This window comes from Homo sapiens (genome assembly GCF_000001405.40).
Source record: "Homo sapiens chromosome 1 unlocalized genomic scaffold, GRCh38.p14 Primary Assembly HSCHR1_CTG7_UNLOCALIZED".
Classification (NCBI taxonomy): domain Eukaryota; kingdom Metazoa; phylum Chordata; class Mammalia; order Primates; family Hominidae; genus Homo; species Homo sapiens.
In genome coordinates, this window is record NT_187367.1 from 46,848 (window position 1) to 62,242 (window position 15,395).

Sequence of the window (15,395 nt, forward strand, 5' to 3'; positions counted from 1 at the left end):
TTTATGTATCTACAGTGCTTTCCATTAAGTGAGCAAGAACTTTACATTTAAGGATGACCTTGCCACATCCCTAAGGAATTGTGAGGATTGTGCAACTCAGGTTTAGCAAGTGAGCCATTAAACTTAATTCTCATTCAAACTTAGTTTGAATGACCTTTGTTTCTATTCGGTACCACAAGAAACATAAAATCCAACTTATCTAGTCTCTTATAACTTTCAAAATATAGGTAGTGTTGAGCTTTTCTTTTCATTTCAATATGCTCTTAAATTCTACATTACAATTAAAGGAAAGATTACATTTATCTTACTGAAATAAAAGTGGTCTGAAAACAATTCAATTGTTTTCAGAGGAAAAGGCATCAAATATCCACAAGACTCTTTTGAAATTATATATTCTGCAGTGGGATAATTATGTTACCTAACCAGAATAGTAATGACACATGCATTTAAAGCTGATAAAAATGAAAGTCTTGTCAAAAGGAAGTGACAGCCCAACTTGTCAGGCCAAACATGCTTTGGCATAGAACTTTATATGCTCTTTAAAATGATTTTAATAAAAATAATAAGCTAATCAATGCAATCAAACTTTGAAGGTAATAACAATATCAATTATCAATTTTGTCCTCTCGATACTCCTTGGCTAGTTTTGCATTTCTGCTAACATCATTGGTCCTGGATGATTCTGAAACTTCAGCCTACAATACCGTAAAGTCTTTACTGTATATGTTCAACTTCAAGCATAAGAGAAATTACAATTAAAAGTATAATCAGAGGCTGGGCACAGTGGCTCAGTCCTGTAATTACAGCACTTTGGGAGGCCGAGGTGGGAGGATAACTTGAGCTCAGGAGTTTGAGCCTAGCCTGTGCAACATAGCGAGACCACTTCCCTACAAATAATTAAAAAAATCAGCCAGGCATGGTGGCATGTGTCTGTGGTCCCAGCTACTTGGGAGGCTGAGGCAGGAGAATCACCTCAGCCCAGGAGGCCAAGGCTGCAGTGAGCAGTGATCACACCACCACACTCTAACATGGGTGACAGAGTGAGACCTTGTCTCAAAAAAAAAAAAAGGGGGCGGGGGGGGGGGGTGGGGTGGTAATCAGGGCCAGGCATGGTAGCTAATGCCTGTAGTCCCAGAACTTTGGGAGACTGAGGTGAGAGGATTGCTTGAGGCTGGAGTTTGAGACCATCCTGGCCAACATGCCAAGAAGTCTCATAAAAATATTAAAAATATAAAAAATAAAGTACAATCAGATTTCTCCTTTTCCATCAGATGGATAAAGTTCAGTAATTTAATAATATGGTAGAAAACAGACATTTATATGTTAGCTGTGGTGATATAAACCAGTTTCACTTTATAGAGGACAACTGGTAATATCTGTCAAGTTTATAAATGCATATACCCTTTAACTCAGCAATTTTAGAATGTTATCCTTCAAATATTTATTTGTACATACATGAAATTATATAATACATTACTGATAAAACACAGACAAGAATATGTATACAACCCAAATGACCACCTAAAGGAGACTGGTTAAATAAATGAGTATAATTGAAAGAAAATTAGGACCTGAACTAAGACCTTTGAGAAAAGAGTAAAAGACTATGAGAATAATGTCAATCTTTTACCTTTTTTTCTCTAGAAAACTAAGACATTAGAAACAAAAAGTCTTAAAACACATTCCTACATAAAAAAAAGAATTCCTTCTGTAAAACGACCTCAGTCGAAAACATAATAATTGGTATAAATTCTTACTCTTTTAAAATAAAGATTAAATTCCAGCTAAAAATTCTCCAGATATGGCAGTATATTGCTCTTTGAATTGAACTGAGGAAGGGCGAGGGTGAGAGACATAAAAGATGAAAACAGTGAAAGGAAGAAATAAAGGGAAGGGAAAAAGTAAAAAGAAAAAGAGGAAAATAGGTCGGACACAGGGGCTCACACCTGTAATCCCAGAACTTTGGGAGGCTGAGGCGGGGGGATCACCTGAGGTCAGGAGTTCGAGACCAGCCTGGCCAACACAGTGAAACCCTGTCTCCACTAAACATACAAAAATCAGCCAGTCACTGTATTCGCAGCTACTCGGAAGGCTGAGACAGAAGAATTACTCAAACCCGGGAGACGGAGGTTGCAGTGTGCAGAGATCGCACCACTGCACTCCAGCCTGGGCGACACGGTGAGATTCCATCTTTAAAAAAAAAAAAAAAAGGCAGGGCGTGGTGGCTCGCCCCTGTAGTCCTAGCACTTTGGGAGGCCGAGGCGGGTGGATCACGAGGTCAGGAGTTCAAGACCAGCCTGGCCAAACCCCATCTCTACTAAAAATACAAAAAAAAAAATTAGCCGGGCGTGGTGGCAGGTGCCTGTAATCCCAGCTACTTGAGAGGCTGAGGCAGAGAACTGCTTGAACCCAGGAGGTGGAGGTTGCAGTGAGCCGAGACCACACCACTGCACTCCAGCCTGGGCAACAGAGTGAGACTCCGTCTCAAAAAGAAAAAAAATAAGTGTTATGAATAAATATGTTTAAAAACTTACAAATCATCAACTGCCATTTATCAGTACAACTAAACTTAATGATAACAGGATATATTTCTGGAGAAGAAAACTTTGGAATTATTTTCAAGGAAAATGAATGTTGAACTTCCATGATACTTTGTGTATTTTTCACAGTATAGAAAATTAGATATTCACTTCCTAACCAACATAAACAAAAAAGATAAAAATAATAGAAGGAAGATATTTTACTATTTAAGTCTGCATGACAGAAAGAAAATTTATTTTTTTATTTAATTTTTTATTTTATATATTTATTTTTTTTGAGATGGAGTCTCACTCTGTTGCCCAGGCTGGAGTGCAGTGGCACCATCTCAGCTCACTGCAAGCTCCGCTTCCCGGGTTCACGCCATTCTCTTGCCTCAGCCTCCTGAGTAGCTGGGACTACAGGCGCCCGCCACTGCACCCGGCTAATTTTTTGTATTTTTAGTAGAGACGGGGTTTTACCATGGTCTCGATCTCCTGATCTCGTGATCCGCCCGCCCCGGCCTCCCAAAATGCTGGGATTACAGATGTGAGCCACCGTGCCCAGCTGAAAATTTATTTTTATATTATTTTCAATTCTAATTTGTCAAAAGGATATATGGAAATAGGAATACAAATCTTCTATATTTAAACAGGTTTATCTGCATACGTAATATCTAATAAACAATTAAAATATTTAAAATGTACCACTTAATTTATTAAAGCCCCCCCACCCTTTTTTTTTCTTTTGAGACGGAGTCTCACTCTGTCGCCCAGGCTGTAGTACAGTGGTGAGATTTCGGCTCACTGCAACTTCAGCCTCCCGGGGTCGAAGTAATTCTCCTACCTCAGCCTCCTGAGTAGCTGGGATTACAGGTGCGCACCACTACGCCCAGCTAATTTTTGTATTTTTAGTAGAGACAGGGTTTTACCACGTTGGTCAGGCTGTTCTCAAACTCCTGACCTCGTGATCCACCCACCTCGGTCTCCCTAAGCCCTGGGATTACAGGTGCGAGCCACCGCGCCCAGCCTTATTGAAGCCATTTTAAACTACTGTGTATTCTGAAATTTAAAAGGGCTAGGATTCAAAATTGAAATAACTGAGAAGTATATTCAAAATGAAAAATACACAAAATTCTTGGGTTGGACACTTTTCAGTAGCTTTTCAGTTACTTGCTATGGAATATAAAAAGCATTCACTTTTACAAAAATCTAAAATAAAATATTATAAAACTTGATTAATTTAAGGTTCTCATCTTTTGATTTGAACACAAACTTCAAAGTAAAAGAGGAAATATATAAGTAAAAGTCAATTATATGGTTACAGTGTACAGTGAAGTTTCAATAATCTGCTTTATGTCTTAATGCCTTCTATAAACTATATCTATTCCCTCTGAAAAGCTTTGGATTATATTATCCTCTTAAATCTAGGCTGCTAGTTTTCTCTGGCACATAATCACTGCCTCTAGCCCTCTCTCTTAAAGACAGTGTCTTTATCAGGCTAGGCACAGTGGTTCATGCCTGTAATCCCAGCACTTTGGGAGACCGAGACAGGTGGATCACCTGAGGTCAGGAGTTTGAGACCAGCCTGACCAGTATGATGAAACCCCATCTCTACTAAAAATACAAAAATTAGCCAGACATGGTGGCGTGTGCCTGTAGTCCCAGCTACTCAGGAGGCTGAGACAGGAGAATTGCTTGAACCTGGGAGGTGGAAGTTGCAGTAAACCAAGATCACGCCACTGCACTCCAGACTGGGCGACAGAGCAAGACTCCATCTCAATTTAAAAAAAAAGCGTCATTATCATTTGGTGACATCAAACTTTACCATCAGAATCACCCAGATGACTTGTTAAAACACAATTTTTTAGGTTCTACCCTCAGAGTTGCTCATTCAGTAGGTCTGGAGTGGGGCCCAAGAATTTGCATTTCTAGTAAGTACCCAGGTGATAACGCTGCTGATCTGGGACCACCCTTGGAGAACCACTGACTTAAACCATTTGTAACACAGTTAGAAGGCCAAAAACAAAAAACAAAGCAAAGCAAAACAAAACAAAACAAAAAGCAGGAAATAGTCTGTTAAGGAGCAAGGAAAAGAACAGTCCCAGAGGCCGGGTGCAGTGGCTCACGCCTGTAATCCTAGCACTTTGGGAGGCCGAGACGGGCGGATCACTTGAGGTCAGGAGTTCTTAACCAGCCTGGCCATCATGGTAAAACCCCCATCTCTACTAAAAATATAAAAAAATTAGCCAGGTGTGGTCGCAAGCACCTGTAATCCCAGCTACTCAGGAGGCTCAGGCAGGAGAACTGCTTGAACCTGAGGTAGAGGTTGTGGTGAGTCGAATTCATGCCACTGCACTCCAGCCTGAATGACAGAGCAAAACTGTCTCAAAAAAAAAAAAAAAAGAAGAAGAAGCAAAGAATAGTCCCAGAACCCTCTTTTTTTCCCCAAAGTGTTGGGATTACAGGTGTGAGCTACCGCGTCCAGCCCCAGAACCCTACCCTTTTTACTCCACAGAAGTATGGAGTCTTATACAGGCCTTCAAGCTGACAGATGAGTACATACTAGCTTTTTGATTCTCTTCCAAATTCCTTATTTATGACTATACTTTTGGCAGTCTCCTGATAAAATGAAATCTACCAATGTATTTCAGTTCAATCACGTGTTTGGGAAATACCTACTTCCCATCAGGTCTAAACTGCTGTAAAGGAGAATATAGGAAAAACAAATAAAACCAAGTTTCTACCCACAATGTACTTCCAATCTAGTTAGGGTAAAAAAGCAGCACACATATGTTCACAAAAACAGCTAAGAAAAGATAGTGCAGTACTAATAAATGAGGATTCAAGTGATAAAATCAAATATTTGTATTTCTTCATTTAACAATATTAGCTAAACACCTACTTTGTGCCTGGCACAGTTATTGGTACTGGGACTAAAGTAGTGACAAAACAAAACAGAGCTAACAATCCAGTGAATGAAATATATGTTGCCTAAGACGTATGTGTACCAGTAGCATACGTTATATTTACTTAGAACCAGAAACACAGTTGCAGGCAAAAGCAGTGAATATAAAAATAAACACAAAAAGCAACTGGATGCCTATTTAACTCTAGAGTCAAGTAGAGAACTGATGTTCAACTTAAAAATTGCTTGCTTGCTTATTCATTTATTTGTTTATTTCTTTGAGACAGGGTCTCACTCTGTTGCCCAGGCTGGAGTGCAATCATAGCTCACCGCAGCCTCGAACTCCTCAACTCAGGCAATCCACCTGCCTCAGCCTCCCAAAGTGCTGGAATTACAGGCTTGAGCCACCGCGCCGGGCCTATGTGTTTTTAAGGAGGCCGGCCTGAGTGTGGTTTTCCTTGTTGAAATGTGTCTCTAAGCAGGTTCCTGGCTCCTGGACTTTCTGGGGCAGGGTTTCCACCCTGTCCCTGGGCAGCCCAGGGGCTGACCCGGAAACCGTGAATTCAGCATGCTCAGCAAAGCCTACAAAGCCATCCTCTTCTGGACAAAGTTCAGACTTCAATTCCTCTGTTCTCAGATGTCAGGCATAGAGCAGAGCCTTGTTAACCACGGTCACACTGTTTCATACTGAATTGTTACAAATTAGTACTTATTCATCCTGCGTAACTGCAACTTTGTATTTTTAACCAATACCTCTTCATTTCCTCCTGCTGATGATCAGGGTATATCCATAGATAATCATCACATTGGCCTGGTGCGGTGGCTCACACGTGTAATCCCAGAACTTTGGGAGGCCGAGGCGGGCGGATCACGAGGTCAGGATACGAGACCATCCTGGCTAAAACGGTGAAACCCTGTCTCTACTAAAAATACAAAAAAATTAGGTGGACATGGTGGGTGGGTGCCTGTAGTCCGAGCTACTGGGGAGGCTGAGGCAGGAGAATGGTGTGAACCCGGGGGAGGCGGAGGTTGCAGTGAGTCGACATCGCACCACTGCACTCCAGCCTGGGCAACAGAGCGACAGAGCGAGACTCTGTCTCAAAAAAAAAGTCTACCAAGGAGTTTTGCTTCACCCATGAAAGGAAGAAAATGGTCCAGGTAAAACGGCCATCGGGATGTAACAAAAAATTGTCAACGATCACACTCTATAGAGGTGGCTGATTTGATACAACACCCAGTGAAATTTTTGACAACAAATATTGCAGACTGCAAGAGACGCTTCTTGTTCGTAGAAATAGAAATAAAGCATGGTGTCTGCGCCTGGCTTTCTGCTGTAAGCTGAAGTACTTCATGGCAGCAGGAATTGGGCAACCCACCGTTTACACTCCACCCTTTGAAACTGGGCTGAATGGGGTGGGGACCCGCCTTTGGGGAGAAAAGCAAATTTTATTTAAGCCCCTGAAAGACGAGAGGGTTGGCCAGGCTCGGTGGCTCACGCCTGTAATCCCAGCACTTTGGGAGGCTGAGGTGGGTGGAACACTTGAGGTCAGGAGTTCGAGACCAGCCTGGCCAGCACGATGAAACCCAGTCTCTACTGAAAATACAAAATGAACCAGGCGTGGTGGCACATGCCTGTAATCCCAGCTACTGGGGAGGCTGAGGCAGGAGAATCGCTTGAACCCTGGAGGCGGAGTTTGCAGTGAGCCAAGATCATTCCATTGCACTCCAGCCTGGGTGACAAGAGCGAAACTCTGTCTCAAAAAAAAAAAAAAAAAAAATGCGTATACCCCAGCCACTGGAAAATGAGATTTCTGAGCAGCTGGATCTGATAATTACCATGAGGTGTCATTACATGATATACACGTGCTTGGAAACAGTATATTATATGTCATAAATGTGTACAATCATTATGGAGTTTTTTTCTTGAGACAAGGTCTTGCTCTGTTGCCTAAGCTGGAGTGTGCAGTGATGCAATCATGGCTCAGTACAGCCTCAACCTCCTGGACTCAAACCATCCTTCCACCTCAGCCTCCCCAGTAGCTGGAAATACAGGTCTGCACCAGTAGGTCCAGCTAACTTTTGTACTTTTTTTTAAGAGATGAGATCTTGCTATGTTGCCCAGACTGGTCTTGAACTTCTGGCCTTGTGATTCTCCCACCTCAGCCTCCCAAAGCGCTGGGATTACAAGCGTGAGCCACTGCGCCTGATCCGAACGATGACTCTTAAAAATAAAATAAAACTTTAGAAAAGAAGAAAATCTAATGGTGGTTTTTGTCTTTTCATTGGCTCTGTGTTACTTTGTAGCTGTAATTTTTTTTTCCTTCATTAAGTCAGCTCCAAATTTGCAAACTCAAGTGAAAGGTGAGTGAGTTTTCTGTGTATCTTCTTGGCATGGGGTGGTGAGTGTGTGTACGTGTGAGTGTGTGTGTGTGAGTGTGCTGGCTGTCTTGGCTGGCTTCGCTGGCTGGCTGGCTTGGCTGCTTGGCTGGCTTGGCTGGCTTGGCTGGCTGGCAGGCTTGGCTGGCTGGCTTGGGTGGCTGGCGTGGCTGGCTGGCTGTTTTGGCTGGCTTGGCTGGCTGACTGGCTTCGCTGGCTTGACTGGGTGGCTTGGCCATCTTGGCTGGCTGAGTGGCTTGGCCGGCTTGGCTGGCTGGCTGGCTTGGCTGGCTGAGTGTCTTGGCCAGCTTGGCTGGCTGGGTGGCTTGACCGGCTTGGCTGGCTGGGTGGTTTGGCTGGCTTGGCTGGCTGGGTGGCTTGGCAGGCTTGGCTGGCTGGCTGGCTGGCTGGCTTCGCTGGCTGGGTGTCTTGGCTAGCTTGGCTGGCTGGGTGTCTTGGCTGGCTTGGGTTGCTGGGTCTCTTGGCAGGCTTGTCTGGCTGGGTGGCTTGGCTTGCTTGGCTGGCTGGGTGTCTTCGCTGGCTTGGCTGGCTGGCTGGCTTGGCTGGCTTGACTGGCTGGCAGGCTTGGCTGGCTTTTCTGGCTGACTGGCTTGGCTGGCTTGGCTGGCTTGGCTGACTGGCTTGGGTGGCTTGGCTGGTTTGGCTGGCTGGCTGGCTTGACTGGCTTGGCTGGCTGGCTGGCTTGCATGGCTTGCTTGGCTGGCTGGCTTGGCCGGCTTGGCTGGCTGGCTGTCTTAGCTGGCTTGGCTGGCTGGGTTGGCTGGCTTGGCTGGCTCGCTGGCTTGCCTGGCTTGGCTGGCTTGGCTGTCTTGGCTGGCTGGCTGGCTTGGCTGGCTTGGCTGGCTGGCTTGCCTGGTTTTGCTGCCTGGGCTGGCTGTCTGGCTGGGCTGTCTGGCTGGTTGGCTGGCTTGGCTGGCTTGGCTGGGTGGCCGGCTTGGCTGGCTTGGCTGACTGGCTTGGCTGGGTTGGCCAGCTTCGCTGGCTGGCTTGGGTCTCTTGGTTTCCTGGGTTGGCTGTCTGGCTGGTTGGCTGGCTTGGCTGGCTTGGCTGGGTGGCTGGCTTGGCTGGCTTGGCTGACTGGCTTGGCTGGTTTGGCCAGCTTTGCTGGCTGGCTTGGGTCTCTTGGCTGGCTTGGCTGGGTGGCTGGCTGGCTTGGCTGGGTGGCTGGTTTGGCTGGCTGACTGGCTGGGCTGGCTGGGCTCGCTGTCTGGCTTGGCCGGCTCGGCTGGCTGGCTGGCTGGCTGGGCCGGCTTGGCTGGCTTGGCTGGCTTGGCTAGTTGGCTGGCTTGGCTGGTTTGGCTGGCTGGCTTGGCTGGCCGGGTGGCTTGGCTGGCTTGGCTAGCTGACTGGCTTGACTGGTTGGCTGGCTTGGCTGGCTTGGCTGGCTGGCTTGGCTGGCCGGGTGGCTTGGCTGGCTTGGCTAGCCGGCTGGCTTAGCTGGCTGGATGGCTTGGCTGGCATGCCTGGCTTGGCTGGCTGGCTGGCTTGGCTGGCTTGGCTGCCTGGCTGGCTTGGCTGGCATGGCTGGCTTTGCTGGCATGCCTGGCTTTGCTTGCTGGCTGACTTGGCTGCCTGGCTGGCTTGGCTGGCATGCCTGTCTTGGCTGGCTGGAGGTCTTGGCTGGCTTGGCTGGCTTGGCTGCCTGGCTGGCTTAGCTGGGTTGGCTCGCTGGCTGGCTGGCTGGTGGGCCTGGCTGGCTGGGTGGTTTGGGTGGCTTGGCTGGCTGTGTGGCTTGGCTGGCTTGGCTGGCTGGGAGGCTTTGCTGGCTTGGCTGGCTGGCTGGCTGGGTGGCTTGGCTAGCTGGTGGCTTGGCTGTCTTGGCTCGCTGGCTCTCTTGGTTGGTTGGCTGGCTTGGCTGCTTTGGTTGGCTGGCTGACTTGGCTGTCTGGGTTGGCTGGGTTGCTGGCTGGCCTGGCTGGCTGGGTGGCTGAGTGGCTTGGCTGGCTTGGCCGGCTGGCTTGGCTGGTTGGTCGGCTTGGCTGGCTTGGGTGGCTATCAGCCTTGGCTGGCTTTGCTGGCTGTCTGTCTGTCTTGGCTGGCTTGGATGGCTGGCAGGCTTGGCTGGCTTGGCTGGCTGGCTGGCCAGGTGGCTTGGCTGGTTTGGCTGCCCAGGTGGCTGGGCTGGCTTGGCTGGCCGTGTGGCTTGGCCGGCTTGGCTGGCCGAGTGGATTGGCTAGCTTCCCTGGCCGGCTGGCTTGGCAGGATGGATGGCTTGGCTGGCTTGGCTACCTTGGCTGGCTGGGTGGCTTGGCTGGCTTGGCTGCCTGGCTGGCTTGGCTGGCATGACTGGCTTTGCTTGCTGGCTGGCTTGGCTGGCTTGGCTGCCTGGCTGGCTTGGCTGGCATGCCTGTCTTAGCTGGCTGGCGGGCCTGGCTGGCTTGGCTGGCTTGGCTGCCTGGCTGGCTTGGCTGGCATGCCTGTCTTGGCTGGCTGGCGGGCTTGACTGGCTTGGCTGGCTTGGCTGCCTGGCTGGCTTGGCTGGCTTGGCTCGCTGGCTGGCTGGCTGGCAGGCCTGGCTGGCTAGGTGTCTTGGCTGGCTTGGCTGGCTGGGAGGCTTGGCTGGCTTGGGTGGCTTGGCTGGCTTGGGTGGCTGGCTGCCTGGCTGGCTGGGTGGCTTGGCTGGTTTGGCTGGCTGGCTGGCTGGGTGGCTTGGCTAGCTGACTGGCTTGGCTGGTTGGCTGGCTTGGCTGGCTTGGCTGGCTGGCTTGGCTGGCCGGGTGGCTTGGCTGGCTTGGCTAGCCGGCTGGCTTCGCTGACTGGATGGCTTGGCTGGCATGCCTGGCTTGGCTGACTGGCTGGTTTTGCTGGCTTGGCTGCCTGGCTGGCTTGGCTGGCATGCCTGGCTTTGCTTGCTGGCTGGCTTGGCTGGCTTGGCTGCCTGGCTGGCTTGGCTGGTATCCCTGTCTTGGCTGGCTGGCGGGCCTGGCTGGCTTGGCTGGCTTGGCTGCCTGGCTGGCTTGGCTGGCATGCCTGTCTTGGCTGGCTGGAGGGCCTGGCTGGCTTGGCTGGCTTGGCTGCCTGGCTGGCTTGGCTGGCATGCCTGTCTTGGCTGGCTGGCGGGCTTGACTGGCTTGGCTGGCTTGGCTGCCTGGCTGGCTTGGCTGGCTTGGCTCGCTGGCTGGCTGGCTGGCACGCCTGGCTGGCTAGGTATCTTGGCTGGCTTGGCTGGCTGGGTGGCTTGGCTGGCTTGGCTGTCTGGTCTGGCTGGCTGGCTTGGCTGGCTTGGCTGGCTTGGCTGGTGGCTGCCTTGGCTGGCTTGGCTAGTTGGCTGGCTTGGCTGACTGGCTGGCCGGCTGGCTTGGGTGGCTTGGCTGGCTGGGTTGCCTGGATGGTTTGGCTGGCTGGCTTGGCTGGCTTGGCTTGCTGGCTTGCTTGGCTGGCTTGGCTGTCTGGGCTGGCTGGGTGGCTGGCTGGGCCGGCTGGCTGGGTGGCTAGCTGGCTTGGCTGGCTTGTCTGGCTTGGCTGGCTGGGTGGCAGGCTGGCCTGGCTGGCTGGCTTGCTTGGCTGGCTTGGCTGGCTGGCTGGCTTGGCTGTCTGGGCTGGCTGGCTGGCTTGCATGGCTTGGCTGGCTGGGTGGCTGACCGGCCTGGCTGGCTGGGTGGCTGGCTGGCTTGGCTGGCTGGGTGGCTTGGCTGGCCTGGCTTGCTGTGTGGCTGGCTGGCTTGGCTGGCTGGGTGGCTGGCTGGCCTGGCTGGCTGGGTGGCTGGCTGGCTTGGCTGCCTGGCTGGCCTGCTGGCTGGCTTGGCTGGCTTGGCTGGCTGGGTGGCTTGGCTGGCTTGGTTGCCTGGCTGGCTTGGCTGCCTGGCTGGCTTGGCTGCCAGGCCTGGCTTGGCCGGCTTGGCTGGCATGCCTGGCTTGGCTGGCTGGCTGGCTGGCTTGGTTGGCTTGGCTGGCTTGGCTGCCTGGCTGGCTTGGCTGGCTTGGCTCACTGGCTGGGTGGCTGGCCTGGCTAGCTGGGCGGCTTGGCTGGCTTGGCTGGCTGGCTGGCTGGCTTGGTTGGCTTGGCTGGCTTGGCTGCCTGGCTGGCTTGGCTGGCTTGGCTCACTGGCTGGGTGGCTGGCCTGGCTAGCTGGGCGGCTTGGCTGGCTTGGCTGGCTGGGCGGCTTGGCTGGGTGGCTTGGCTGGCTTGGCTGGCTTGGCTGTCTGGGCTGGCTGGCTGGCTTGGCTGGCTTGGCTGGACAGGTGACTTGGCTGGCTTGAGTGGCTGAGTGGATTGGCTAGCTTGGCTGGCCAGCTGGCTTGGCTGTCTTGGCTGGCTGGGTTGCCTGGATGGCTTGGCAGGCTGGCTGGCTTGGCTGGCTTGGCTGTCTTGGCTGGCTGGGTTGCCTGGATGGCTTGGCAGGCTGGCTGGCTTGGCTGGCTTGGCTGGCAGGCTGGTTTGGCAGGCTTGGCTGTCTTGGCTGGCTGGGTTGCCTGGATGGCTTGGCAGGCTGGCTGGCTTGGCTGGCTTGGCTGGCTGGCTGGCTTGGCTGGTTGGCTGGCTTGGCTGCCTTGGATGGCTATCAGGCTTGGCTGGCTTGGCTGGCTGTCTGTCTTGGCTGGCTTGGCTGGCTGGCAGGCTTGGCTGGCTTGGCTCGCTTGCTGGCTGGCTGGCGGGCCTTTCTGGCTGGGTGGCTTGGCTGGCCTGGCTGGCTCTGTGGCTTGGCTGGCTTGGCTGGCTGGGTGGCTTGGCTGGCTTGGCTGGCTGGGAGGCTTGGCTGGCTTGGCTGCCTGGCCGGCTTGGCTGCCTTGGCTGTCTGGCCGGCTTGGTTGGCTGGCAGGCCGGCCGGCTTGGCTGGCTGGCTGGTTGGCTGGCTTGGCTAGCTGACTGGCTTGGCTGGTTGGCTGGCTTGGCTGTCTTGGCTGGCTGGCTTGGCTGCCTGGCTGGTTTGGCTGGCATGCCTGGCTTTGCTTGCTGGCTGGCTTGGCTGGCTTGGCTGGCTTGCCTGGCTGGCTGGCTTGGCTGGCTTGGCTGGCTGGAGGCTTGGCTGGCTTGGGTGGCTTGGCTGGCTTGGCTGGCTTTCCTGGCTGTCTGGCTTGGCTGGCTTGGCTGGCTGACTGGCTTGGCTGGTTTGGCTGGCTTGGCTGGCTGGCTAGCTGGCTCACTTGGCTGGCTTGGCTGGGTGGGTGGCTTAGCCGGCTTGGCTGACTGGCTTGGCTGGCTTGGACATTAAATATAATAATATATTTGGTACATTAAATATAAATTGTATACGTTAAATATAAACATCTTTTATACATCAAACATAAACATTTTATACATTAAATGTAAACATATCTTATATGTTAAATATAAACATCTTTTATACATTAAATATAAGAATACATTTGGTACATTTAATGTATACAATACATTAAATATAGACATTTTAGACATTAAATATAAGCATATATTCAGCACATTAAATGTAAACATATTTTATACATTAAATATAAATACTGTATATGTTAAATATAAATATGTATTTTCTATATTAAATATAAATATGTATCCTGTACATTAAATATAAACATATTTTCTATATTAAATATAAACATGTATTTTGCATAGTAAATATAACTATACATTTTCTATATTAAACATCAACATGTATTATGTATATTAAACATAAACATATATTTCCCATATTAAATATAAACATATATTTTTATATGTTAAATATAAATATATATTTCCTGTATTAAATATACACATATATATTAAATATAAATATATTTTTCTGTATGAAATGTAAACATATTTTAAACATTAAATATAAATATTCGTCTTAGATATGGCCCGTGTTGGAATGTGTAGTAGATTGAGTATATAATGTCTACTCAATATAAAATTTATATTTATATATGCAGTAATGATTCAAGTTGATTGTAGTTAAGAAAAACAAGCTCCAAATTCGAAAGAAATATGTAAGAAGAGAGACAGGAAGAAAAAATAATGAGGCAGGTAAATGCAACAGACAATTCGAGACCCACAAATGCAGAGCAGGCTTCCCAGACCCGGGTAATGTCTCCTGGGCTGATAGGAAGCCCTCAACCCCCCAAGTCCTTCTCAGCCGTAAACCGCCTGAGCACAGAGCCACAGGGACCGTGTTGGGGCTGGGCCTCCCGACTTCAGTTCCTCTCATTCTGTGCAAAAGGAAAAACAATTCAGAATCTACAGAGTTTTAGAGGTGTGCAGATGTGGACAGAGAAGTCCGGGCACAGTGGTTTACTGCCCAAGAAGACAGTGAGTCCCCGGAGGAATAGAAGAATATACATCATGCTAATATATGTCATCCCAGTACTTTGGGAGGCCGAGGCAGGTGGATCACTTGAGGTCAAGAGTTCGAGACCAGCCTGGCCAACATGGTGAAACCCCGTCTCTACTAAAAATACAGAAATTAGTTGGCCGCGGGGGTGGATGACTGTGATCCCAGATACTCGGGAGACAGAGGCAGGATGAACTGCTTGAACCTGGGAGGAGGAGGTTGCAGTGAGCTGAGATCATGCCATTGCACTCCAGCCTGGGGAAAAGAGCAAGATCCCGTCTCAAAGAAAAAAGAAAAAAAGAAAGAAGTTGTGAGTGCTAAGTTCTCTCTGGATTTTCAGGAGGCCAGTTCTCCAGTCCACGGTGGCCTGGGAGGACAGGGGTTCCTGAGGGTGAACAGAGCCTGTGCCCGGTCAGGTAGGATCATATGTCCCTGAAGTTCAGAACCCAGGAGCATGGGGATGGTCCTGGGGGTTCCTGCTGCACGGAGGGAAGACCCTCTTTCCACAGGGGCCCCGGAGAGCGAGAGGAAGGAGGAGGGCAGGTCAGTGAGTGTGATGGGGTCACAGTGGAGAGGGAAGCAGAAAGAAGTGTTCCCACAGCAAGACACACACAGTGTCCACGCTGAAGCTACAGAGAGGACCTCTCCACCTGTGTCTGCCGCAAAGCAGTGGGGCGTCTTCTGGCAGCCCAGAGTCACCTCCAGATCCCACCTGCACCATGCTTCCTGCGGAGACTGCCTGTCTTCCTAATACACTGTCTTCTGACCAGTCTTCCAGACAAATCACCGGTTGCTATATATATATATTTTTTAATAGCTAATATCTTACACTGATATATTTATATTATATATAAATAATTTTGTGCTTTATGTTTATGCTATATATACAGATGTAGTTATTTATGTTATATATAATATAAACATGATGTATATTCTTATATTTCTCTGGGGACTCACTGTCTTCTTAATACACTGTCTTCTGACCAAATTCTTCCAGACAAATCAGCTGTTGCTATATATATATATATGCTATATATTTTATTGCATAGAATATATTATATATTATATATTAATTATAGAATATATTATATATTATATATTAATTATATAATATATGTTACACATTACATATTATATATAATATATTACATTATGCTATATCTTATATATTATATATGTTATATATGTATATATATTATATGTACACATATACACATACATACACACATGTATACTTTAATAGCTAATATCTTACACTGGTATATTTATATTACATATGATTATATACAAATATTTTTGTACTTTATGTTTGTGCTCTATATACAGATGTAATTAGTTGTTTATGTT

At 48.9% G+C, this 15,395-nt stretch overlaps 1 pseudogene; it reads right to left on the reverse strand.

Moving 5' to 3' along the window:
- Positions 1-6,467: 6,467 nt before the first annotated feature.
- Positions 6,468-7,174, reverse strand: LOC101929830 (uncharacterized; annotated as a pseudogene).
- Positions 7,175-15,395: the final 8,221 nt, after the last annotated feature.